Below are 27,027 nucleotides of genomic sequence, written 5' to 3'. Positions count from 1 at the left end.
ATTCCTTATCCACCATCTCCCATCCCTGCTTTTAGAGTTCTTAGAGTCTATTCTCTCCATCTTTATGTCCGTGATGACCTTAATATTTAATGGGGTTAGAAGTTTCAAACTTTTGAGACATATGGAAGACTTGGATTGCAACTTTTCTCTTCTATTTTTTGCATAAGGCATACTCTTTTCTTGGCATCTAAGAACAGTCAATTTCTGAAATATGAATTACAGTGCATAGTTACAATACCAACTTTATAGTTTAAAATGTTATTTGACTGCCTACTGGTTTTATTTCCAGATTAACAAGTTTCTTAACATTTATTATGCCTCCAAGAGATAATTTCCACATTTGTAAAGATTGTTTGAAATGTCAGGTAAAACAACAACAACAACAGAAATTTAAATTTAGGACATGCAAAGGTAAATTTTTCTTGGCTAAATTTAAAATAAATATGCCTTGTACTATAAGAGAATGCAATACATTGTGGCCCTTAGCATTGCATATTAGCAATATTTAGAGCATAATTTAATCAGTTGGTTGATTTGGGGAGGTAGTTGCAATTGATATGTAGACTACATGTTTTATTAGTTATTACATTTTTAAATGTCAGAATCTTGAGTAAATGCAATGTAACATTTCCTTTGTTATAGAGAAAGAATTTTCAAGTTGCTTTAAAGGCTAATTATTTCAAAGACCAGTCAACTTATTTTTCCCCAATTTCCATAAATTCTGAGTTTTGAACATCCTTTCTTTAAAAAGCTTTGTTTCTGGAAATATTTTATATTCTGCCCCCCACAGAATATGCTTACATTTCTTTCATTGTATCTCAAAGGGTTTGGAGCTTGTCTTTCTGGGTTTTGACTATCCTTTCTACTCCTGAGAGTTGAAGTTGAGGGTGCTGACAGGGTGTTGTGGTTTTCATATTCTATAGAGAGGCAGCATTTGTAACAGGTAGGTGTGAGCCTTGCTTTCAAACCTCCCACCTGCTAGCTGAGTGACACTGGGAAAATTCCTTGGCCTCTCTGAGCCTCACTTTCTTCCTTCTTATAAAGGGGTAATAATGCCATACCTTGGAGTCATATTATGATTATTATATATTGGAAAAATACTTCTAATCATCTTGGCACACAGCAAGTGTTTAATCCATGGTAGTGACTAGAAACTCTTATTAAACCAATTTACGGACTGATGGCAGTCATTTTATTCGTCAGTTCACAAATTCTTTAAAGTTCAGATCATATGGAGGACAGGGCATGAGGGAGGAAATGATGGATTCTTGTTTATGCCCACAACACCTACTGTTGCCTAAGGTGACCTTACCACCCAGCAAGAACTTGGCCAGTCTGCTTCTCGAATTGCTGTTCCAGAAAAGCTCATTTGCGAACAGTGTTGGGTTGTTTATTTGGGTTGCTTATTCTAGTCAATTGACTTGGCCAACAAACTGCATTTCTTCAGGAGTGGGGAGAACTGTGTTTCATGTCCTCCTCTGTGACAGAACTGCAGACAGTAAACGAAGTGATGCCTGTGGTGCCATATGACTCCCTCCCTCTAAGAAACCACATTCAGCTTTTGGGGAGGCTTATTTCTTTTTTTTTTTTTTTTGGCACAGCCCATGAATCAAATACTAGCAGAGTTTTCCCTCCAAAGATGAGACCTGTGTATCTAGATCAGGGTTCAGCAAACTTTTTCTGTGAAGGGCCTGAGAGTAAGTATTTTACACCTTGCAGGCCATATAGTCTCTCTTGCAACTCAACCCTACCATTGTGGTGCACAAATCCAGCCATACTCTCACCATATGTAAATATTTACAAAAACAGGCAGAGGGCCAGATTTGGCCCATGAGTCACATGGCTTCCTGACTTCTGCTCTAGATCAGTTCTGCTCAATACAAGTAAAATGCAAGCCACGTATTTAATTTTACATTTCCTAGTAGCACATTAAAAACAATTCTTGGCCAGTCCTGGTGGCTCATACCTGTAATCCCAGCACTTCAGGAGGCTGTTGCATGAGATCACTTGAGGCCAGGAGTTTGAGACCACCCTGGGCAACATAATGAGACCTCCTCTCTACATTTTTTTTTTAATTAGCCAGGCATTTTGGCACATGCCTGTATTCCTAGCTACCCAGAATAACTTGAGCCCAGGAGTTTGAAGCTATAGTGAGCTATGATTGCACCACTATACTCCAGCCTGGAAGACAGAGCAAGACCTTGTCTTCAAAAAAAAAAATTTGTAATATATTAAAGCATCTTGATTTTTAAAGATGAAATGTTTTTAAGTCTTAGAATAGAAAGAGACAGATGCCTTACCTTTATGAGTAACCTAAGTTTGCTGAGACCAGCCTAGCCAACATGGTGAAACCCCATCTCCACTAAAAATACAAAACTAACTGGTCATGGTGGTGCATATCTGTAATCCCAGCTACTTGGGAGGCTGAGGCATGAGAATCGCTTGAACCCGGGAGGCAGAGGTTGCAGTGAACAGAGATCACACCATTGCACTCCAGCCTGGGCAACAAAGGTGAAACTCCATCTCAAAACAAACAAACAAAAAAACAGAAATTGGCTTTTTGGATTCCATGTGATTAAGATTATTACATAATTTGTTAAAGAGGGATTTTCTGGTTAGAATCCCTTACCACTACCTCCACTCTGAAATATGTTGCCTGAATTATCTTGTTTTCCAGGGATATGCAATGCTCAAATGTTCACCCAATTAGCCCCAACCACTGTTGTTACCAAATAAAAGGTATATGTAGAGAACTGAAAGAAAATAGATAAAATATCTATTGGTAATAGCGAGTGAAAATATTTATTGAAAATATCTAATGATATTACAAAATCCAAACAAGAGTTACCGTTTCTTCCTATAAGGATCTAAGTAGATCAAATCTGTTTGTTGTGACTATGTTACCTGATGTTTCCAGCTACCTGCCTTAATAAAAACAAGGAAGACAGTTCTTTACCAACAGGGTAAGAATTTAGATAGACAGTTTAAAAGTACATAAGTTCTGAGAGAATCTTTGTTTATACTTCAGTTGTGGAAATATTTAGCTTATTAACCTCCTGAGCTATATTTACCTGAAAGACAAAATGAAACACGTTTGAGGCACACAGAAGATACTGCTTTTGAAAAAGAGATGTGAGGTCCTATTAGGGCAAAGCTGTTAATTACACACTTCATTATTGTCAAGGTTAATACAGTCTGTGAGGGCAGAGGCACTTTTTCATCTCTTTTCGGGGAACAAGGGGAGACAGCTGTTTTCACAGACAGATCCATTATAGCTTATCACCAGCCAACAGCCCATGGAAGGAGCACTATGAAATATGGCCACTGTCACTGGGAGCCTGAATAGATGCTGAGCTGGTCCAGGGTACAATGGAAAGACAATGAGCACCATGGCTTCAAACTCAAATAGATTGGGTTGCATTGATTTTTAATGCCTGGAGGTTCCATGGCATAAAATCCACCAATCCTCTTGCAGTTATTGTATTATTGATCTCTATAAAAGTGCACAATTTTGCTTTAATGAACACCAGAGACGGACAATAATAATTAGTGGTTCTTCTGTTTGGAAGCCTGGTTAAACCGTGTTGGAAAACTCTGCATGTTTGGATTTTCATTATTACTGCTTTGCCACTTATGATTCTATAAAGTGAAACCTGTATCAGCAAAACAAATACTGCCTTGGTTCTGATTTAACAGGTCTTCTTTTCTTATACTTTTTTGGGTGGGGCACTAATTTGTTTTTAACAAACATTTACATTTTGCAACCCCCTGCTTATTAACACTGAGCTAATAGTTTTCATTGAAACGGAAGAGTGTGTGCTTTATTTAAAGTGTGATACATTTATACCATCAACAAACATTTTCAAATGCTAACCATGGAAATGAAATCCAAGAAAAGACTGTCTTAGGACATGCCTTAGTTTCTTTGCCCTTTTGTTTGGTTGGTTGGTTGGCTTTTAGATTTTTCTTTCATTTTTTTACTATTGGGTGATTAAAATTTCTTCTTTCTAAATGTTTGTAACCACATCATATCTTTTGTAGTGTTCGGATTTTGTTCATCAATAACTCTAAGGCTTCTAGCCTTATAGTAAGAGCATGGTGCTAAAGAAGCAGGTGTACCAAAATGGTGAAATAAATGGAAGTCATCGTTTTGGTTAAGCTGGAGAAATGTTTCATCTTCAAAGGGAATGAGAAAATGAACATGTAATTCCCAATGTGTATATATAGTGTAAACGTACTTAGCGCTATGTATGTATATATAGAATACAATACATATAGTACATTTAACACTATATTATAGATAGTTAATAAAATGCATATTTAATACAACTTATATATATGTATGTATATACATATAATGCTGACTCTTCTTATACAGAAAAGCATACCTCAGTCTAACTTTTTTGTTATAAAGGTAACCCTGATTGTAGAAGATCTAGAAAATGCATTAACCCCATTGTATACACAGTGTAACCCTCCGACCATCATCCTCATCACCTGAGAGCTTTTTGGAACTCTAGCATCCCAGGCCCCACCCAGACCTACTGAATCACAGTCTCCCTTTAACAAGATACTTGGGTGATTTGTGTGCACTTTAAAGTTTGAGAAGCACTGGACTGAAATATAAATCACCCCTAGTCTTCCCACCCTGAGATGACAGCCACTATCAAAATTTTACTGTATTTCTATCAACTTTTCTTTTCTATACCTATCTTTCCATTTAAATCTTGAAAGTCTAACTTGGTTAATTTTTCTGACTCATACATTACGTTTTTAAGAAGAATAACTATAGAATGCTGATTGTTAATTTGAAAGTATTCCGCTTTTTAGATCTCAGAAGGAATATTTATGTAACAATTGTAATTAATTTGAGATACATCTGTTTAAATTCAAGAAATATGTATTTTGTATCTAAAGTTACTAATAGTACTTTAAAGTCTCCCACATCAATTATCCCTTTTTTCCCACCATATGAAGCTAGATTTATTTCTTCTAGGTGTTGTTTGTAGCTTCCTTTCTTCTTCATTTATTATCAACCTAATTTAAAAGTAAAATTTACCACTGCAGCCCGCCACCCCGCCCTGGCCAATAGTTAAGTAACTAGCACTTATAAGTACTTTGTATACGTCAGGAATCATGCCAAGTTTTTTACACATATTACTGTATTAAATAATCACATTAACTCTGTGAGGTAAGGATCTAGTCTCAATGTTTTATGGATTAAGAGACAGTGACTTAAAAAGGTTTGATAACACTTAATATTACCTATCTCATAAGTGCTATAAGCCTAAGATACAAAATAATGATAATAAATACTACATTTTTAAACAATGTTTCTTATCAATTGGCAGTCTTTGTCATTTCTTCTAAATAGCATTTAGCTTATAGCAGTATTAATATTTTTCTCGGGATACCTGGTGACAAGTGCACAGAAAGAGCAGGTCCCCAGTTCTGAGGCCACACATTAATTCACATGATGAAATAGTGACCCTCTAATCTCCTATAGAAATGTTAATGAACACACTTGGGAGACAAAAAATCCCTATGAAATTGTATTGATTCCTTTTGTTTATTAATTTCCTAAATATAAGATATTTATAGCACGATTAATGACTGAAAAAGCTCTATTTAATAGGCCTTCATTATGTTGTTCTTAGTAATCTAAAAATATTGATAGGTAGTATAGGCCTAGACACATAGATACTATAGTTCTGTTTTTTATCCATCTATAGATATTTTAGGATAAATAGATGCCTCTTTTTGACATGTAAATTTTATTATTTCAGTATTTCTCAAAAATGAAGTGTTAGTTTAAAGTCTACCCAATCAACTCATTAATCAAATTGGAAGGGTTTTAGTGTAAAAATAGGGAGATTTAAGGGACCTGTAACTTCCAAAGGAGGTGTTCAATAATGCTCTTATCTCAAAGGAATCACACAGGGAATGATTTTTTTTCCTTCTAAATTACCTGTGTCCTAGTGGTGAATTTCTAACACTAACAGTCTACCCCCCATCACAGACATTTGTTAATTTGTGAAGATGAACTAATAGGTTTTTTGGACATAAATTCCAAACAAATAATTGGGATACCAATTTGATATGAGCAGAGAGCCTTTCTTCTGTATTCACAATTTCCATCCTGACCCCAAAGATGGTAGCATCTGAAGGCATACAGATCACCTCTGAGCCTCAGTTGTCCAGTAAATGATGAGCTGGTGATTATCTCTTTTTTCTCTCTCTCTAGTTACATCTATTGCTTCCTCCTAGATGTGCTTCATAGTTCTTTTCTTCCAGAAACTTTCCCTAGACTTTTAGCTTGCTTTTCTCTGATCATTTTTTAAATAATCTTCATGCTTTTCTTAGCCTTCATTGATGAATGTGTAGAAATGTTCTTAATTCATATCATATTTACAAATTTCCGTCCACTGAAGGCAGTGTTTTCGTTGAGGGCATTAGGATGTTTTAAAACTGTTCTCTAGCACCTCCTTCTATCTGCAGCTACAATTCTAGGGGGAAGGGGATCACTAAATACCATCAAGTGATAATATCCCTATTACAAATAAGAGAACAGGTAATGAAATAAAGAATGAAATTAAATCACATAGCAAGTGTGCACTGAAATTGAAATTGGAATCTAGAATTATCCATATTCCGTACATTCAGCAACTAATTTCTGAGAGTGGAGCGCACGATAGAAATATGCACCACAATGACCAATGGCCAATTTGCTGGGTTGTGATGTCACACACCAACGTTGCATTGCTTACTGGTAATATTTTGTTTAGCCTAAAAGAGTCTAAAGCATACCATAGAAAGAGACCTAGACTGGGAGAAAGGAGACTTGGGTTCAAATCCCCTGTTTGTTAAATATTGTTGGCAAAGTCAACTCCAGGTTTCAGGTTTTACTCAGTAAAAAGAAGAGGTGACCTAGACTCTTTCCAAAATTAAGATGCTGGAAGTGATTCCATGGTAGCAGACTGAATATTTTGTGTATTCAGAGATGGGAAGGCATGGGGGGCAGGCAAGAAAGAATAATTGGAATATTGTTTAAGATGGATAGAATTTAAAGAAATAATATTTTTCTAGGATATAGAGCTAAAGGTAACATTGAATATGAAAAAAATCTAATATAGTTAAGCATTGTTTATCAAGTTCAGAGAAAGTCTGGATAAGATAAGATTTTTGCTAAAGGATTATCCGAGTAGATCCAGTGATTCAGAAGGGCCCTTTAAGACCTTGGTGTGCCTTACACTCATTACCCATGTGGCACATCTGTCAACACAAATGCCTGGGATTAAACACACCAGGAAGCTCTTTTGGAGGAACCATGAATTCCTGATGACATTTTGTTTGAGTAACCTGCCTATTGTTCATAAAGAGAGGGAGTAGAAAATGTGCAAGAGTATAATTTCTGTCCAAAAGGAAAAACTTTTAGTTGATACACTGTGATACAAACAAACTGTTTCTGTTTTCTTTTAAAAAACAGTGCAAGACATTATTGAATAGGAAAGGAGGCCAGAAGTTTAAATCCATAGAAGGAAGCAGAACAGATGTCTAAGAGGGCTTGAAGGCCACCCTGAGGAAATAGAGAAGTGGTAAACAAGGCCAGGCGCTGTGGCTCACGCCTGTAATCCCAGCACTTTGGGAGGCCAAGGCGGGTGGATCACGAGGTCAGGAGTTTGAGACCAGCCTGACCAACATGGTGAAACCCTGTCTCTACTAAAAATACAAAAACTAGCCAGGCGTGGTGGTGAGTGCCTGTAATCCCAGCTACTGGGGAGGCTGAGGCAGGAGAATTACTTGAACCCGGGAGGCGGAGGTTGTAGTGAGCCAAGATCATGCCACTACACTCCAGCTTGGGTGACAGAGCAAGACTCTTTCTCAAAAAATAAAATAAAATAAAATAAAATAAGTGGTAAACAGGGAAGATACAACTGAAATGAAATAGGAAGCTGCTGAAAGAGACTTGATATTTTTAAGGCTGAGTTATAGCTGTTTCATCTTTCCTCTGCCAAGGCTGCTCATCTTTTACTCTTCACAGTTATTGTTTCTCCCAAGTTAATCTGTGGGGTGAGGATGGATGTTGTTCCTCTGAGGAAAGGTCCCAGGTTATATACATGATTCTTTCTTTCTCTAAGGGAGGCTCCAACAGAGCATCCCCTACTTTGGCAATCAATCCATCAATTTATGCACCACCCTCAACAATGACTACATTCCATATAATGAATTCCACACTATGGAATAAAAAAGGAATAGGCAAAAAAAAGACTAGGATATTAGTTTATGAACACTGACTATATTATGCTCAGTGAAAGAAGTCAAGCTGAAAGGCTCCAGACTGTATGATTCCATCCATATGATATTCTGGAATAGACAAAACAATAAGGACAGAAAACAGATCAGTGATATCAAGGGTTTGGGGAGAGGGTAATGTTTGACTAGAGGAAACTCAGGAGATATTTTTGCAGCTGGTGGCACTAATTTGTATGGCACTCTAACAGTGAATACATGATGCTTTGCACTTGTCAATACCCATAGAGCTTTGCAGCACAAAGAGTTAATTAATGTACGTAGTTTCAAAAAACAACAAAAAATAAACCAGAAGATCAGAGGATCCTGGGATAGAATGCAGAATGTGACCAAAGAATCCAACAGCTATACATTTATAACATAACCTCATTGAAGGGGGTGCAGGAAAAAAGACACTAACTTAAGGAACTTTGGAAACAGTGCTTTGAATGCAAACTATAAGTGTAAAGGAATTTTAAAGAACTGGACTTAAACATGGTACTTGAGTTGACAAAGTTGTTTCTCATGGTAGAGTGAGTTAATCTGAAACTGCTGAACAGTTATACTAGCACTGAATAGGCAAATGACTGGCAGATGGTGGGGCCCATGTTTTTTACTGTTGCAGAGGAAGTTACAGGTAAGGAAATGGCAAGAATGAATTATGTGGTACTTGATTAGATTCAGAGACATTAATGTGGATTTATGTTTAGGTTAATATAGATACAGATGGATGGATATAATTATAGGTGTGTGAGTGTGTTCATGAGTTAGTCTACAAACATATTATTTCGGAGCTCTGTTTGCTGAGGCCTGGCAATGACACCCAGTAGCAATGAGTATTCCTGGAACCAAATCTTAATTTCTAATACTATTAGCGTTCCTTGGAGAAATGCCTGATTTGGGGGGAAGGGCAGGGAAAATAAAAGATAAACCTGGAGCTTCTTGTAGGGACAGAAAGTAAGGAAGTGCTCAAAAAATAAAAGGAAGAGGGATCATCAAAGGGACACAGCAGCCAGCCTGAGAGAACTCCCAGTGACAAAAGCTGGAACCATTTGAGCAACAAGGCAAATAACAGAGTGTTGGCTTATAACCCAAAGTATAAAATAAATAACCATAAGTCCATCCATCCTTATATATAAATAAATGATTGAATGAGTAGGTAAATGGGAGCAAATAAGCAAGTCTCCTGTGCAGAAGAATTCCAACTACTTTATATAGATACCCTACCCCCACCACACACACACACCCAAGAAGATAAAGCTTAAATCCCTGACCCTTGAGTAGACGCTACACTTACTGACTTGTTCCCAAAGAATACAATATACAGAAAGCTAGGGAAGGGGAGTGTGACTGTGTGTATAAGAAACCTGGAAAATATGACCTCACCCAGGTAGTCAGGGCTAACATCATCATTCCTAAGTCGTGTCGACGATATGTACCCTAAACATTATGCGATGAAATGTGACTTGACTCTCTGATCTTCCTCCTCAAACCAAATAACCTCTGTTTAAACATGGGAAAAACACCAGAAAACCCCAATGGAGGAACATTCTCCAAAATACCTCACCAGTACTCCTCAAAACTGTCAAGGTCATCAAAAAATAAGGAAAATCTGAGAAACTGTCACAGATCAGAGGAAACTCGGAAGATATAACAAATAAATGTAATGAACTATCCTGGATGGGACTCTAGAACCCTAGGAGAAAATTAATGAAATCTATAGGAACATGGAGTTTCCTTAATAGCAATGCAAGATATTAACTCAAGGGGAAACTGGATGAGAAGTCTATGAGAACTCTGTATTCTCTTTGCAACTTCTCTGTTAATCTAAAACTATTCTAGAATAAAAATTTTATTTGAAAGAAAAGGGTATAGTACAAAACTATTAGTCCAGGACTCTTGGAAAGAAAAAAAATAAACCCTTTGTTTCACCATGGATAGATCTATAAAACATCAGCTCCAGGACAACTTTGACTTCTTCCTCCAGTTTGAAATCTTCTATTGTACCATCCAAGATAGTTTTGAACTCCTTGCTACTTGCTCAAAAGTATTTTTCTCCTAAAATCCTGGAAGTCTGAAGTCACAACACTTTGTTCTTTGTTCTTTTATCCACCCCCATCATATTTGCCTGCAAATCCTGTCATTGTCAAGGCACGGCTGACGGGCTTTGTAAGTGGTTTGCGATGTCTTTCAGTTCCTGGTATTCTTGTGTTATTTAGGTTCATTAAAGGGAACAATTTGTCACTAAGATCCAGGTGCAACCATCATTACTAAGCCATCCAAAATTCAGCGGTGATGTTACACAGAAGTGTGGCCATAACAAACAAGCAGTATAGTATAAGTATATATACTTAATAAGAATATCACATTTGATCATAAATCACACAAATAATCTTCAGTCTGTTTCCTAATTACAGTTTCAGGAAGTGCCTGCCTCATCCATAAAATTTCATAACCTCAGTTATTATGTCTTCCATATAAGGGCAAAAAATGTACACCCATTTCTAGTTATGTTAATAGTTGGGTGATAATGCCTTCTGGTTTTGAAAATCATCTGAATAATGAATGTAAAACAGTAATAAATATTATTTTTTATTACCAAACAGTTATAGAGTGTTAAATTATAATTATCAGCTCATCATTAGGTGGTTAGGGCTTATTATTTAGGTAGAAGAAGTAGGGGGAAGGGATTTGCCTGTAAACTGGTAAATAAAACAGTTATATTCTATGTAGTCTCCTACATGGCTTTTTGATGGTTATTTGATGTCTCTGTTGAGATAGGTAAGAAGAAAAATGCAATTTGAGATTGTTTACTATTTGATTTATTTCACCACTGAAGTCAATCAACACATTTTCTTTATCATTTTGTGTTAAGTGTTCCCGGGGTCTTTTTTCTTCTGTAGTTTAATTTGGATGGAGTGGGGGTGGGATGCCACCATCAATTTAAATCCATGAAATATTTTCTTTAAACAATATTCCCTCTATTATTCCCAGACAATCGTTAGAGGAAACAAACCCTGCAAGGAAACCTCCATCAACGGCCTGCTAGAGGATTTTGACAACATCTCGGTGACTCGCTCCAACTCCCTAAGGAAAGAAAGCCCACCCACCCCAGATCAGGGAGCCTCCAGCCACGGTCCAGGCCACGCGGAAGAAAATGGCTTCATCACCTTCTCCCAGTATTCCAGCGAATCCGATACTACTGCTGACTACACGACCGAAAAGTACAGGGAGAAGAGTCTCTATGGAGATGATCTGGATCCGTATTATAGAGGCAGCCACGCAGCCAAGCAAAATGGGCACGTAATGAAAATGAAGCACGGGGAGGCCTACTATTCTGAGGTGAAGCCTTTGAAATCCGATTTTGCCAGATTTTCTGCCGATTATCACTCACATTTGGACTCACTGAGCAAACCAAGTGAATACAGTGACCTCAAGTGGGAGTATCAGAGAGCCTCGAGTAGCTCCCCTCTGGATTATTCATTCCAATTCACACCTTCTAGAACTGCAGGGACCAGCGGGTGCTCCAAGGAGAGCCTGGCGTACAGTGAAAGTGAATGGGGACCCAGCCTGGATGACTATGACAGGAGGCCAAAGTCTTCGTACCTGAATCAGACAAGCCCTCAGCCCACCATGCGGCAGAGGTCCAGGTCAGGCTCGGGACTCCAGGAACCGATGATGCCATTTGGAGCAAGTGCATTTAAAACCCATCCCCAAGGACACTCCTACAACTCCTACACCTACCCTCGCTTGTCCGAGCCCACAATGTGCATTCCAAAGGTAACGTTTGCTACCTCCTTTCCCTCACGTGTGCAAAAACCTCCACAGGGGTGGTGCTGGCACGACCTTTTTATACGATTGGATTGTAAAGTACTTGTTTGCCTTTTAAGGGAAAATCAATATCAAAACCCACCCTATCTCCACTTGTGAGGCCCCAGGGCAGAGGTTTAGGATAAGGCATATATATTCATTAAAATAAAAATCTATCTTTTGGGCCCTCCTACGTGGTTTCTCATTAAAAGGCGAATAAACTTATTGATTTGAAAGATAGAATTCTGATATATGAGTGATAAATATGATGTGACTGTATTTGACTAAGTTCCCTGTTAAGGAGTGGATCAGTCATATACAATCATAGAGCATTAGATCGAGCCATCCAGTGGTTCCTACATCCTGGCAAAGTTTGCATAGACCTGCTAAAAAGGAAAGAAACTCAGTATAACATGGTAATTTTTAAATAAAGCCAATTTTGTTCAACTCAGGGGATGGCCCTTCATATTAAGAGTATGTACTTTCTACTATATTTGATTTGAAATATTGGTTTTTATATGAAATTTGGGGGTGACAGATGGTTGCTGGACCGCTGGACCATTTTTGTCCCCTTTTCACTTTGTTTTGTAGTAATTCCTCTTTTAAATTTTGTTTAAATGTTAGCAGCTCCAAGTTTGCTTTGAAATTTGACTGGTCTATGATATCCTAAAGTTTGGGAATCACTGCCGGAGAAGTTACTGAAACTAAAAGCACAGGCAAAGGTCTATGGGTCCGAAGGTCTAAAGTCTTGGAAAATACCTTTGAGAATGTGCAAGTGATTTATTTTTCCCTGTCATTTAGAAATGTTTTTGCTACCTTACCTGTCCAGCAAAAGAACATGGACCGTAGGGTGTGGAATGTGGATTACATAGAGGTCTTGAAGCAGGTGAGAGGGACATGACTTCTCACAGGGCAGTCATGTACTTTATTTATACCAAACTCTTGACAGTTTGGTGAGCAGCACAGAAAACTCTGGAACCCAAGCCTGCCTGCATTCACCTGATTTATTGATTATAGATAGTCGATATTTTTCCTTTGCTTCTTATTTCTCATTAACCTCATCCAAGATGTTGAAGAGAAGCCATTTAAGTGTATTGTTGGAGTTACTTCAGCCATTCTTTAGAAGAAACAAAAAAGCTGTCACCTTAGTTCCCAGGATATAAAATTAAAAACAAATCTTGATAAATAGAGGCCTGAGATATGTTCCTCCAGTTAAAATTCACATAGTGACAGTGTTTTTTTTTTATCTCGTGGTATTAATGTACTTGAACACCCACACTCAGGATATCATGACTGCTTTCTCTTCCTGTGTGCTTGCCAGGGTGACTGTTGGAAAGAGGTCTAATTAACCACAAGCAAAATCTACTTGAACTCATACGCATGTCTCATGATACATGAGATAGTTTATTCCATTTCTTGTGCATATCACTTGTGCATTTCTGTGAGTGATATGAAATAAATAAGTTAACATGTTCTATAGCTGAATTGAGTTACATCCTGAGGCTTTGAATATCAGTGGTTATTTTTTTATCTAAGATTTTGTGTGCGTGTGGCTTATTTGCATATTTGTGTTAGGGAGTTGTTTGGGGTCATAGTTACAGAGAAAACATTGCCCAGATGATGCTGCATTTTGGTCCTGGAGCCTTATTTGGCTCTTCCTGGATGTTGGAAATGAATATTGGGTGGGCTACACATGTCTATAGTCCAAATAGTTTTAGAGGTCAAGAGTTTTAGAACTCTTAATTCTGGAGTTTCAGTCTTCTCTCTTTTTTATTTTTATTTTTTTAAAAAGGATGAACTGGTATCCCTGAGTCCACATTTTCACATAGCATGGGCTTTTGGGATTTAATGTCACCACCAGCAATCCCTGCACACTCATTTCCTAGAAGGGGAAACTGAGGCCCAGAGAGCCACATGACACACTTACAGTTTCATAATTAGTTGGTTGCAAAACAAGGACAAGAACTCAAGTCTGGTGTTTCTCCCTGCTCAATATTTTCCTATTATTTGGGCGTATGTTATCTCGGGGACTCAACTGCATTTGCCAAGAAAATCCATGAGAAGTCCCAGTGGCCACCAGAACTTTCGTCTAAGTGACAGAAGAACGAGGGTGGGAGGGGTGATTCACTTTAATTCCCTACAGGCTCCCTCTATTCTGCAGACTTCCAAATATAAGACAAAGCAGACCTGCCCTGAAATCTGGCTCTGCCAGCCCAGAAACAATGCACAAACTATTGTGGCTCACCACCACCAACAACAACAACAAAAACAGCATAATCACTCATGGGAACTTCTACCAAGGGTGTTCAGCCCTTACGATCAGAAATACAAAGAAGCAAGCTGCTGCTCCATGTTTCACAGGAAACTCGTGAGAGATTCATGAGCAGGTTTTTGTTTTGTGGGAGGATAAGAGGTGGGAGGCAGGTTAGTAATTAAAACGTTCACTTGATTAAAAATACAACATTTCTCTGAAAAGACGGAGGTGCCTGTGTCTTTAGAACGGTACTCTTAGAGTGTACCAATCACATTTGGATTTCCAGCTGAGGGAAGAAATAGCGGTCACGACTCAGATGAGTCGGCCTTGCTTGCAGAGACTCCTAAAGGAGGCTGGGTCATGTTTTCATCTCCAGTAATAAAAGGAAGCACAAAACTTGTGTAGGTCTCCAGATGAAGCAGAAATGAGGAGGGTCATGTGTGTGTACACATGTGTGTGTGTACACACGTGTGTGTGTTTGACACAGTTTTACATTTTGTCCTAAAGAAAAAAAAAGATTAATGTTAACCCACAGAAAAAAAAAATCCTTCAATGTTATCTACCTACTTAATTTCCCTGCTAGCAGGACAGGAATCAAGAATGTTATGAGTTTGTTGATGTTGGCCTCCTCTCCCTACATTTAAGTGTATTTTGCTGGAACTAAGCAGATGAAACCCTGGGGTTGGGAGGGTGGGAAGCAAAGCCAAACAAAAACCATATAGCACCATACCCACCACAAAATTATGAAAACTGCCAGATGTGGAGAGAGAATGCTTTCCACCCTCGCCTGCAGACAAATCTGCCTTCCACGGAAGGAAGCTAGCTGGAGAAATTGCCGCCATGTATTTGACTTTGCTGATTCCTGTGCTCTCCAGAGACCAGGCAGCCACCTACTTGTGTCTTTGTATTGGCCCAGCACATCCGTTCCCTACTGAGAAGCCCCCAGCATAACAATCCCACCAGTTCATTAAGCATTTGCTGTGTACCAGATACATGCCATGTTTTGTTGAGCCTCACAGATCTGTAAGGCAAGAATTCTTGACCCCTTTGTACAGATGAGGAAATGGGTTTTAAGAGGCTTAGTATGCTCACAGCAGAGCTGGGATCCAACTCTTTGGGCTTAAGCCTTTTACCAGACATTGCATGCATTTCCAGTAGCACAGGGGCAGCTTCTGTGGGTGCAAAGCCTGCAACCTGCCTGATTATAAGCTCCTTTTAATACCTGAAGCAATGAAGTTGCATTAGCAGTTAATTAGCAATTAATTTCACAACTAGGTTGCATCATCCCCTTTCACTCTGTAGCAGGGTCCACCACCTTGACACTATGAACATTTTGGACCTAGTAATTCTTCATTGTGGGAGGCTGTCCTGTGCATCATAGGGTGTTTAGCAGCATCCATGGCCGTTCCCCTCTAGACGTCCATAGCATCCCTCCCTCACTCCTAACAACCAAAATATACCCAGACACTGCCAAATGTCCTGCAGGCAGAAGAGGGCAAACTTGGCCCAGTTAAGGACAACTGTTCAATAGCTATCATTTATCAAGCACGTTTTGGCAGTTAAAGATATAGATTTTGGAGATAAACTGCCTGGGTTTGAGTCTTGACATTGCCACTTATTAACTGGGTGAACAAGTTGCTTAACTGTGCCTCCACTTCTTTATGTACAAAATAAGGATAAAGACAGCCCGTGTCTCATTATATAGTATGAGGGTTAAGTAAGTTAATAAATTACAGCAGCTTAATTACTAATATGAGTAATCTACACATCAGTCTACATGTGGAGCATGTAGATGAATGGTGGCAGTGAGGTGAGGGTTACTGTGTTCCAAGCACTGTGCTAAGCATTTTGCAAACATGACTCAACTTAATCTTTGCAATTCCAGAAGAATTCAGGATCACCTCTGCTCTACAGTTGAGGAAGCTGAGACTCCAAATCTTTATGGACTTCCCCAAGTTTATAAAGGCAAATAACTGAGTCAGGATTCCAAACTAGGTCCCACTGACTCCAAAGTCTATGTGTTCCAGAATATTCTCATTTCCGTAGAAGAAAATCCAGGGGCAGAAAGGTGGACATGAAGTCTCCAGGCCCAGACACAAATCCTAGAGGTAGCCTCACCTTGCTGGTGAAGAATGGGTGGTGACTGACAGGTGGATTTGCTGTGCCCATGGAATGCTGTTTATTCTTCCTGTTCTTCCATCATGTAGGATGGAATCCTTGAGAAGTTCCTTAATGTCACCCAGAGTGTAAACCGTGGGTAAAAGCTGGAACTATGGGCTGTAAAGGAAGTGTTAGGTGCAGAAATCCCTAAGGTGCTCATATGCATTTATTTGACCTTAAGTGGTAGTCTTGTTTGATTTTTTAAAAGATAATCCAGATTTTCTCACCCATTACAGAAAAATGCAAGTTCTATAATCAGATTCCCTGGATTCAAGCGCTTAGTAGCTGTATGATCTTCTCTGTGCATCAGTTTCATCATCTCTAAAGTGTTTCAGTACCTACTTTGAACTGGGCATGGTGGCACACAACTGTAGCCCTAGCTACTGGGGAGGCCAAGACAATCCTTTGAGCCCAGGAGTTCAAGGTTGCAGTGAGTTATAATTACACTACTACACTCCAGCCTAGGCAACAGAGTGAGACCCTGTCTAAAAAAACAAAACAAAACAAAAAGGATGGGAAGAAAAGGATGGTGTGATTTCCCGGCACTTCCTTCTGGGGTCAACAGTTCAATGTGTTTTCACTGCTTAGCTATCACTTTGCTTTCCCTGGAAGGAAAAAGCACTTGAACCAGTGGGCCCAGTCTTCCCGCATCAATAATTTACTGATTCACTGTTCTTTGTGGTACTTGTCATGCCCAGATTCAACCATGGCTCCAACAACAGAACAGCAACTTCTTTTCTACTGAGGATCCCTGCAGAACTCGGTTCAGAGATCCATTCAGGGTTTAATGGGTTATGGAATGACAGTGCTAGTGAAAACTGATGGGCTGCACTAAAAATCTGAGGGGGAAAGAGAGAAGCACTTGATCACTTAATATAACAATGGATATATTTAGATTTGTTTTCTTTACCTACAGGGTCTTCATTAAGGCTCATAAAACATCCAAGGACTGACTGAGTGCACTATCTCTAACGTCTGTCCCTTCTGATGGAGACTTTAGGTGTCCTTTGCATATGAATGGACACTTCTTCCCATGAATGCTCTTGTGATTCAAAATAAATTGTATTTTGGTCATTATGAATGGGTTTTCCCATTACCAAATTAAAAACAAAATGAATTTAACCTGGCATTGTCCGTTCCTAGCTCTCTCAGAGGCCCTGACATATTTGAACAATATTCTGAGGCTGCAAACCAGTCCCCAAAGACGAAGAGTCCCTCCACATCACTGCAGGCGATGACGGATCGCAGGTCAGACCAATCTGCTCTGTCTCACTGCTCTTGAATAGAAGACACATTCTTTGAGTTTGAAGCAGCAACTGTGGGGGGTTAATTGGATATGCCAATTCAGAGGTGGAGGAAGAGCCTGGAATACCCGTATGCCTGACCCTGCACATCTCAGATTTATTCATTGCTTCATATAGCTAGGCTTTGCTAGTTTGTAGGGTCATGAGCCACTTGTCCAACTCTCAGTGTGCATTTGCAGGGCACAACCAGAGAGACAGACGAGTTATAGGGTTCAATGAGTCCCATTCCCCTAATTGCCAGTCTCTATCCTGTCCCTACAGAGAATGCAAGTTAATGATTCTCTCCAGAATTCTTACAAGCAGTCGTTTTCCCTTCCCAAAGCCAAGCCTGGTCCTGTTAAATTTTCCTTTGAGTCAAGTGAGGACAATTTAAGATGTCCTTTCCATGCTCAGATAATAGAGGTACTGTGATTCACTTTTATCTTGCATTTGATTTATGGAGAGTAAGCAGCACCCAGCCTGGCGTTTTCATTTTCGAGATGAGCAGTCTTTGTTTTATTGTGCTCTGAAAAGGTGTATTGGAGCATCACATTCAGGCACTGGAACCAGCTGCCGCCCACTCCCTGTAACTCGCCATCCTTCACGGAACATTCCGAGTCCTCATTCTGTGGGTACAGACCCACACTGTGGCTGTGTCCACACACCCCAGTCGAGCACGCTCCAGCCACGGCCCCCCTGCCCTCAGAACAGAAGGCCACAGTGCCAAATAGATGCTCCTGCAGTACTGTTTTTTCCTTCTCTTCTTTCTCTCACCCTCCCCTAACCAAGCTTTCTTCCCCCCAAGACTTGGCATAAAATGGTCAAATTATGTTCTACTGCAGAATTCAATTTCACAGTTCAGTTAGGTCCTTGATTACACTGCCAAATTCAGATTAATGTGCATTTAACTAACATGGATCAGGGGAATTCTGGCTGACAACCAGCTGTAATCGGAGCAATTGATAGCTGTGTGGAGTTTTATGCCCCGTCCACCCCAGCGTAGCTCTGGTGAAATTGATTGATTAAGTGAATTCATAGCTATAATTATTTATAATTTTGATACATCACAAGCCTGTGTCTGACCCTATCTTTAGAGATGTTGAGCTCATTGTAGAAAGGTAGTCCGGCTGAGTTGTTAACTGGGGATTATTTATTCCCTTATATAATATATTCTTTTTTGCTCTTTTTCTTTTTTGATCATGTTTGAATAGAGACATGACAAAGCACATTTTTTAAAGAATTAATTTATATGGTATACAAAAAAGTGTCAGGAAGCTAAAAAACAAGTGTATGTTATTAGCCATTTCAAAAAAAAAAAAGAGGAAATCACAATCATGACTGCTTGTTCATTTTGTCAATATTTCTAAAGATTCCTGTAGAGAGAATTCCTTCTTAAAATGTATCCAATTTTCAATGACAATTAATGACCTGGTAACCCTGCAGCTAAGCAGTTTAGCAGCCTGGGTGATAATTTGCAAGACAATTGACCTGGTCTTCTCTCATGACATCATGCCATATGGAAATCCCCCTGAAAACTTTGCAGACCATGGTCTCCTTTGTAAGGAGTTACTCGTTCACAAAATCACAGCACTGTTCTCTTTGGAGGGATGGGAAGAATGCCTTTGTTGTTTTTTCTCTTACATTGCAGTTTCCCACCCTTGCTCTGCACTCCGTGCCCTTGCTGTAAGGTCTGCAAGGGTAAACTATGTACATAAATCTTTTGGAAATGGTTTGGATCATGGGTGATGAGAGATATGCTGGATTTGCTTATTAAATATCATTCCTGTCACTAGTCCCATTCCACTGCATTGTGTTTTCACTAAATAATCAGATCCCAAATCCCTTTCACAATACCAAAGATAGGTCTGCTTTTATGAACTTCAAGCCTACTCATTTTTTTTCTAGAATGTATTTGTAAATCAGGTCATAGAAAAGATTGCACAGTTTAAGCTGGACTGCTTTGCACATCTTTCTCACATGCATGAACATGTGTGTGTAAAACAGTAGGAATGGACAAATTCATCATTTATGTTTTCTGCCTTCCAAATATAGGCTATCATGAGAAAGACAACTTAGAATGGAACACTTACATGACTATGAAAGTCCAAGAGCTATGTGAGGAGGTCTCATCGCAGAAGAAAGTTTGCACTTTCTTCCTTGAAAGAACTTACAGAAGAAAGCCTGAGTGATGTTGTAACAATGCAGAGTTCTGCTTTGACCAAAACAAAAAGGAAAATGATGAATGATGTACATAGATAATCAACTCGTTTTGCTGTGATGACTACTCTTTTTTTTAGCTCATTTCTCTAAGCCAAAACTGCTCAAAACAAACAAGCCAAAAAAAAAAAAAAAACCCTTAATTTGTCTTTCACCCCCTCTCCTAGACATTATCATCCATCATGTTCTGGTCCAATTCTTGCATTTTGCCCCAGGCTGCCCAAACATCTGGGCCCCCAGTGAAACACCCTGACCAGGCTTTATCTCTGTGGTTATCATCATTGCCCACTCTGCCCGCCCCTGTTAAGACCACATCCCCCCCCCCCATCATTCATGCCTATCTCTGTGAATTTTTCAAGGACCCAAGTACTGAAGCGACTCTGTCTGGATTTGAATCCCATTTCTCCCTTCTTTTAGCTTTGGGATCTTTGCATGACCTACTTAAACCCACTGTGCCTCAGTCTTCTTATCTATAAAATGGAGGAATTACAGAGCTTATTTAATTGTCCAGCTTGAGGTTTACGTGCAAGAATATACACAGTGTGCTTAGAACAGTCCCTGGCATGTAGAAAGCACTCAATAAGTATCAAACATCATTATTCTTATAAATCAATGAATGTTGGAAATGCCAAGGCAGGCAAGGGAGCCGGCCTGTGGGCCAGTGTGCTGGGCGCCCTCCCACTGGGAGTGAAGGACTGACCCCGGCAGAAGAACTAGGTTATGTCGTCCCCTTGGAAGTATGGAGCTATTTGCCCTGCATTGCTTGGGGGCAGTTTCGTCTCCTTGTGCCTCTATTTTATCAACCACAAAATGGGATTCAGTTGCCCCCTGCTTGATTCCCAGAATAAAAAGAACAAGACCTGTTGAAAGTGTGTGGGCTGGTGATACGCACCATCATGGAACCCCGCATGTGGGTTAAGATCCAACAGAAGGCAATGGTTCAGCACCTTGGTGGCCCCAAATGGGGTCACCCATGCATTTCTCCTTCACAGAGTCAGCTATTTGTCCTCTGAGGGAAGACTACATGTCCCCTCACTTGAAGTGAACAGTTCATTCTCTGATGAGTATGCCTTGAGTTTCATTCAAAACATTGTCTCTTGTGATACTAGTTGTTCCTCAACCATTGCTTAAGAGTCTGTACCTCTTACCAGCAGCCGTGAAAGACAACAGCACCTTTTTGTCTCATGGCCTATTTTGAAGATGGTTAGCTTTCAGCAAAGAGCTCTGCATTCCATCTTTGCCTGGAAATTGTCCCCTTGGTGCAGGCAGGCTTCTTCTTTATGTCATATGCCAGCTGTTAAGGGTGGATTCTGATAATGCTGCTGACAGGTGATAAGGAAGAAAAGTGGCCTAAATTAGTGCAAAGCGGTGTTTGTGATTCCTGCAGGATGCAGCTTTCCCATTTTTAATATATCTTCAGAGATCAGTTATACATGCTTGTGGGGAATGAATTCAATTTCGTTGAAAGTACAGGAGCCAGTCCTCCAAGGAAGACACAGGGTGATAATGGCAAGTGATGGCTCCCAGGACACACTTTCAGAAATAAAAGCCAAAACACTATTTCCCTTCACACCCTGGCCTTGCTGACTAGCCTAGACTTGACTAATCTGGAGCTTATTGAAGGAAGAATCCAGTTGTTTAACTTACACTGACACTTCTCTCTCCCCATTCCATCGTAGTTTAACTTACACTGACACTTCTCTCTCCCCATTCCATCATACACACACACTCACACACACACGTTTTCCTTGTGTAGCACAAATACAGAGGCTTTGAAAAGAATCAGCTTGGTTTTGAATATTTTAACTATACATTGTTCAATATATTAATGTTAACTACATCTTGTCTTATTGCTTTGAGTATTAATATATAGGAATATATATACCACAGGGGCATTGTATGTCTTCAATAAATGCTAGCTAGTTTGATAATATTGCAGTTACTATTTATTTTATTTTGCATTCTCATTACTGTGCTAAGCATTTTATATAATAATAACACCAAGTAGAACTTACTGGCCAGTCATTGTTTGAATACTTTGATATGTATTTGATCCTTTAGAGTTCAGTGACCAAAGGAAGTAAGTATTATTATTGTTCCATTTTACGGATAAGGAAACAGACTCACAGAGGCTGATTTGACTAAAATTATCAGAGTCAGAAGGAAACTAAGACTCAGAGAGGTTGACTTGACTAAAATTATCAGTCAGAATTCATTCCTATGCCCGTCAAAAGCATGTGTTCTCTCTGCAACCAGGGCAGGAGGGCAGCTTAGCAGCTACCCTGGTTCCTGCTGGTTGATGCCAAGGCTGTCTGAGTGGTGAATTCACCTAGTAAAGTGTAGTGTTTTTGAAGCTGGAAGGGCTGCATTGCTGAATGTTCAGCAGGCCAGGCACTGTCATTGTAGAACCAATGGGCAGTGTTGGGGGACTGAGAATGGTGCTATGGTAGCAATTTTAAAGAGCCCACTGTGTGCAGTTATTGCTCCATGATGTGATAGAATGACTACCTTCTTATGCATCGTGGTGGGGCAGGAGCTTGAAACACCTGCTTGCCTCTACCATGTCACCAGATCCAATGAGCAACATGCCCCATCCCACTTCTCAGTGGCATTTGACAGGATTCATTAGCCCTTCCTTCTTGAAATACTTTCCTCCCTTGGCTCCAGGACACCTTGCTTCCTTAGTTTCCTTTCTACAGCACTTGTCACTCCTTCTCTGCTCCCTTTTGCAAGATCCCTCTGCTCTTTCTGGTATCTAGACGTTGGGGTCCTCAGACCATCTCTTACACATTCAGTATCATGGCTTTTAATATGAACTAAGCACCGATGACTCTCAGATTCATGTCTTTAGCTTTAACTCTTCCCTGGACTTGGGGCATGCCTAAGTCTCCTAAGTGACACCTCCACATGGATGTCTAATCACTCTCCCAAACTTTACATGGCTAAAAGAACTCTTAATTTTCCACCATGTATTAGCTATCAATATTGCTGCATAACAAATTATCCCAAAACTTCATGGCTTAAAACAAACTGCCTCATGAAGCAAAAAATAGTGCTGTTCAACTAATTTCCCCTAAACTTTAAATAACAAACATTTACTATTTCACAGTTTCTGTAGGTCACAAATTGAGAGGGCTTAGCTGATTGATTGGTTCTGTCTTGGAATCTCTCATGAGGTTGCAGTCAAGGTTTCAAACAGGAACACAGTCATCTGAAGGATCAACTGGACCTGGAGGATCCACCTCCAGAATGGCTCACATGGCTGTTTGCCAGAAGGCCTCAATTTCTAGCTAGCTCTTAGCAGGAGTCCTCAGTTTCTTGCTGCATGGACCTCTCTATTTTATTATTATTATTATTTTTATTATTTCTGAGACAAGGTTTCACTCTGTCATCCAGGCTGGAGTGCAGTGGTGCAATCATAGCTCACTGCAGCCTTGAGCTCCTGGGCTCAAGTGATCCTTCAGCTTTAGCCTCCCAAAGCTCTGGCATTACAGGCATGAGCCACTGCACCCAACCCTTCCAAAGGATTCTTGAGTGTCCTCATGACATGGCAGCTGGTGAAAGCCAAAATAAATGATGTAAGAAAGCAAAGGAACTTGCCATCATCTCTGCCTTTTTCTTTGATCACACAGATTGATCCCAATACAGTGTAGAAGGGGACTACATAGGAATATGAATGTCAGGAGGCACAGGTCATTGAGAGCAATTTGGAAGCTGATTATCACACCCCACAAGCCCTGTTCCTGCCCCTGGATTCCTCATCTCATTAAATGGCCTGTTGCTTAGGCCAAAATCCTGATAGCCATCTTTGATTCCTGTCTTTCAAGATCTCACCCAATCCATCAGCAAATCCTGTCAGCTCCATCTTCAAATCCTGCCCTAGATTTCACCATTTCTCACCCCATCTACAATAACCACCCTAATCTCAGCCCACATTAACTGTGATAAGCTGCTGGCATCCCTGTTTCCACTCTTGCCACCAAAGTCTCTCCTCCAGCAGCCAGAGAGTCAGACTGTGTCATTCCTGTCTGCTTAGCAACCCCCAGTGCTTCCCACCTCACTCGGAGCAAAAGCCAACGTCTTTGCCAAGGTCTTCATGATCTGTCCCCCGGCAGCTTCTCGGCCCATCTTCCTTAGTGGACACACTCCACTATAGCTGAGCGTCTGCTCTTCCTCACAAACTAAGCCTGGATCTGCCTCAGAATCCTGCATGTGCCACTCCCACTGCCCAAACCACCCCTCCTAGGAAAGGGATCTTGCTTTTTCCCTCACTCAGCCAGGCTTCTGCTCCAACGGAACCCCCTCAGAGAGTCCTTCTGTGACTACCCTATCCAAGATGGCATCTCATTACTTTCAACCCCCTCACTCTGCTTTATTTTTCTTAATATTATTCATTACTACTGAAACACACACTGTATATTTACTGGTTTTCTTTATTATTATCTATTTCCTTCTCTGGAGCATAAACCCCAGGAGGGCAGAGATATCATTCATTTTGACTGTTGGTGGACCCTCCCCCTCACACCTAAAACAGTGCATAGCACATCATAGTTGCTCAAATATTAATTTTTGAAATAAATGAATGAATGTGCTGCATGGGAACAATCAATTCATCTAGAATAGTGCCATCCAATAGCCCTTTCTGCAATGAGGAAAATGTTTTATATGTGTACTGTGTGATGTGGTAACTACTGAGTTCTTAAAATGTGACTAGTGTGATTGAGAAACTGAATTTTTAATTTTTAATCTATTTTTGTTTATTTTAAATAGGCACGTGTAGCTTGTAGCTACTATATTAGAATAGATCTAGGTCCTTGGGGTGGATGGTAGGGGAGTGGGATAAGTTAATGCCATTCCATTTACACCCAGTAGAGTGATAGAGACTTTCTGGGGCACTGCATTAAGAAAGAGCCTCAAGTCCAATCAACAGATCTTTTCTGAGTACCTTCTATGTATCCAGCACTGTGTTGTCATCGAGATCTTCCAAAACAGAGTGCATTGATGGATTAGCACTTTCTGCCCTGGGCTAGGAGCATACCACATGACAAGATGTGGTATCTTTACCATCCTGGCCTCAGCAATTCCAGGAGTGGCCAGAGCTCCTTCCTGATTCTTTCCAGGAAGTGACTGCTGGACCTACATATTGTATCATATACCAGTAATCCCCTCACTGGCTTCCCCATTCTCCTCCAATAAATCCCCTCATCCCACTCTTCCAAGTCAGAGTGGATGTTCTTTGCTGGGATCTCTTTCGGGTCTAGCATCATTTTCATTTCACACATACCCCTGCAAAGTCTGATCACTCTCAATTATATTTGTACTTATTTGGTGAGAACATTGCACATGTTCACCCTGTGGTTCACACCACTTAGCACAGGGAGACGTATTTTCCCCTGTACCTACATCTGCTGTGTTATACCTGTGTTATACATATATGTCCATACCACCCTCTAGTATGTGAATTCAGAAGCATGGGAAAAGGCCTCCTACCCCTGAAATGTCTCCCAAAAATGCTAGCTGAAAACTAATGTCCTTTAATGAGGGATGGGGTTTTTCATTACTGAACAAGAAAATAGGGCTTAACAAGCAAGTACACCTTAGATATGACACACGTGAAGTAACCTCCTGCTGTGGTGCACGTGCACCACAGAAGGCCCTTCCCTAGGTGTGGCCGGTCCTGTTGGTGCCCCAGCCAGATCCTCTCATCTCCCACTGGTGATCCTCATTCTGCCAGCTGTCAGTCAGCTCACTCACCACTCGGCTGTGGCATTCAGATCCAGCATGTGAATATTCTCTATCCATGTCTGTCTTCCCAGGTGGATTACGATCGAGCACAGATGGTCCTCAGCCCTCCACTGTCAGGGTCTGACACCTACCCCAGGGGCCCTGCCAAACTACCTCAAAGTCAAAGCAAATCGGGCTATTCCTCAAGCAGTCACCAGTACCCGTCTGGGTACCACAAAGCCACCTTGTACCATCACCCCTCCCTGCAGAGCAGTTCGCAGTACATCTCCACGGCTTCCTACCTGAGCTCCCTCAGCCTCTCATCCAGCACCTACCCGCCGCCCAGCTGGGGCTCCTCCTCCGACCAGCAGCCCTCCAGGGTGTCCCATGAACAGTTTCGGGCGGCCCTGCAGCTGGTGGTCAGCCCAGGAGACCCCAGGGAATACTTGGCCAACTTTATCAAAATCGGGGAAGGCTCAACCGGCATCGTATGCATCGCCACCGAGAAACACACAGGGAAACAAGTTGCAGTGAAGAAAATGGACCTCCGGAAGCAACAGAGACGAGAACTGCTTTTCAATGAGGTAAAGAGTGTGTTTGGGTCATCCTTTCTCTCCTTTGTAACATTTATTTCCCATTTCAAAAGTTATACACATGTACATTTTAGGACATTAGAAAAGCACTGAAAATATAAAGACAAAAATAGCGTCCCCTGTAATATTTCCTTCTAGTCTTTTTTCTATGCACATATATGGCTGTTACATCTATAAAGTACTTCATGTGTATCAGCCACTGTACTAAGCATTAATCTAGCTTGATCCTCACAACAACTCTGTGAGATAGAAAGATGTTATCACCATTTTTACAAGGAAACCTGGACTCAGGTTAAGAGATCCGGCTCAGGGTCAAGCAGGTTGACTGTAGAGCTAGGATCTGAATCTCTGTCTAGCAGATTCTAACTCTTATGCTACACTGTATCTACATGAGTATGTATATATTTTACACTACTATGATATCATAATATACCCTCCATAAACAATTTTTAAAACAGTAGACCAGGGTCAGTTTACCAATGGACTATCACCCTTTAGGAACTTTAAAATATTTTTCCTAACTATAAAAATAATGAATTCTTCCTGTAGAATACATGGAAAGTAAAGAAAATGTCCCACAGATATCCCAGTCAAGGAATAGCCTACATTAATATTTCAGTGTTTCCTTTCTATATTTTTCTGTTTACAAATTTCTTTTGTTTGAGATAATTATATATGTAGTTTGGTAACTCTCTAA

General features: G+C 40.2%; 1 protein-coding gene and 1 long non-coding RNA gene across 8 annotated transcripts in view, besides 2 other annotated features; one reads left to right on the top strand and one right to left on the bottom strand.

Annotated features, from left to right (window-relative positions):
* The window catches only part of PAK5 (p21 (RAC1) activated kinase 5), a 301,707-nt gene that overhangs the window by 246,863 nt on the left and 27,817 nt on the right, over positions 1-27,027 (top strand). For all 7 annotated transcript variants that reach the window (NM_177990.4, NM_020341.5, XM_017027960.2 and 4 more), the window contains 2 exons: positions 11,284-12,069; positions 25,830-26,321. In NM_177990.4, the coding sequence (NP_817127.1) occupies positions 11,284-12,069; positions 25,830-26,321 (1,278 nt within the window). The remainder of the gene's footprint in view (positions 1-11,283; positions 12,070-25,829; positions 26,322-27,027) is intronic.
* The window catches only part of LOC105372523 (uncharacterized), a 44,234-nt gene that overhangs the window by 14,961 nt on the left and 2,246 nt on the right, over positions 1-27,027 (bottom strand). Inside the window, exon 2 of the long non-coding RNA XR_937250.3 lies at positions 20,906-21,335. This is a non-coding gene — a long non-coding RNA (uncharacterized LOC105372523). The remainder of the gene's footprint in view (positions 1-20,905; positions 21,336-27,027) is intronic.
* Positions 15,062-15,571: an enhancer, noted in NCBI's record as "OCT4-NANOG hESC enhancer chr20:9557290-9557799 (GRCh37/hg19 assembly coordinates)". NCBI's record gives its function as "activates a minimal SCP1, AML or CMV promoter by ChIP-STARR-seq in primed H9 embryonic stem cells {active_cell/tissue: H9 hESC(primed)}" and the evidence as "EXISTENCE:reporter gene assay evidence [ECO:0000049][PMID:30033119]".
* Positions 19,138-19,638: an enhancer, noted in NCBI's record as "OCT4-NANOG-H3K27ac hESC enhancer chr20:9553223-9553723 (GRCh37/hg19 assembly coordinates)". NCBI's record gives its function as "activates a minimal SCP1, AML or CMV promoter by ChIP-STARR-seq in naive H9 embryonic stem cells {active_cell/tissue: H9 hESC(naive)}" and the evidence as "EXISTENCE:reporter gene assay evidence [ECO:0000049][PMID:30033119]".

Source organism: Homo sapiens, chromosome 20 (genome assembly GCF_000001405.40).
Source record: "Homo sapiens chromosome 20, GRCh38.p14 Primary Assembly".
In the NCBI taxonomy this organism is placed as follows: domain Eukaryota; kingdom Metazoa; phylum Chordata; class Mammalia; order Primates; family Hominidae; genus Homo; species Homo sapiens.
This window is presented reverse-complemented; position numbering and strand designations above follow the sequence as displayed.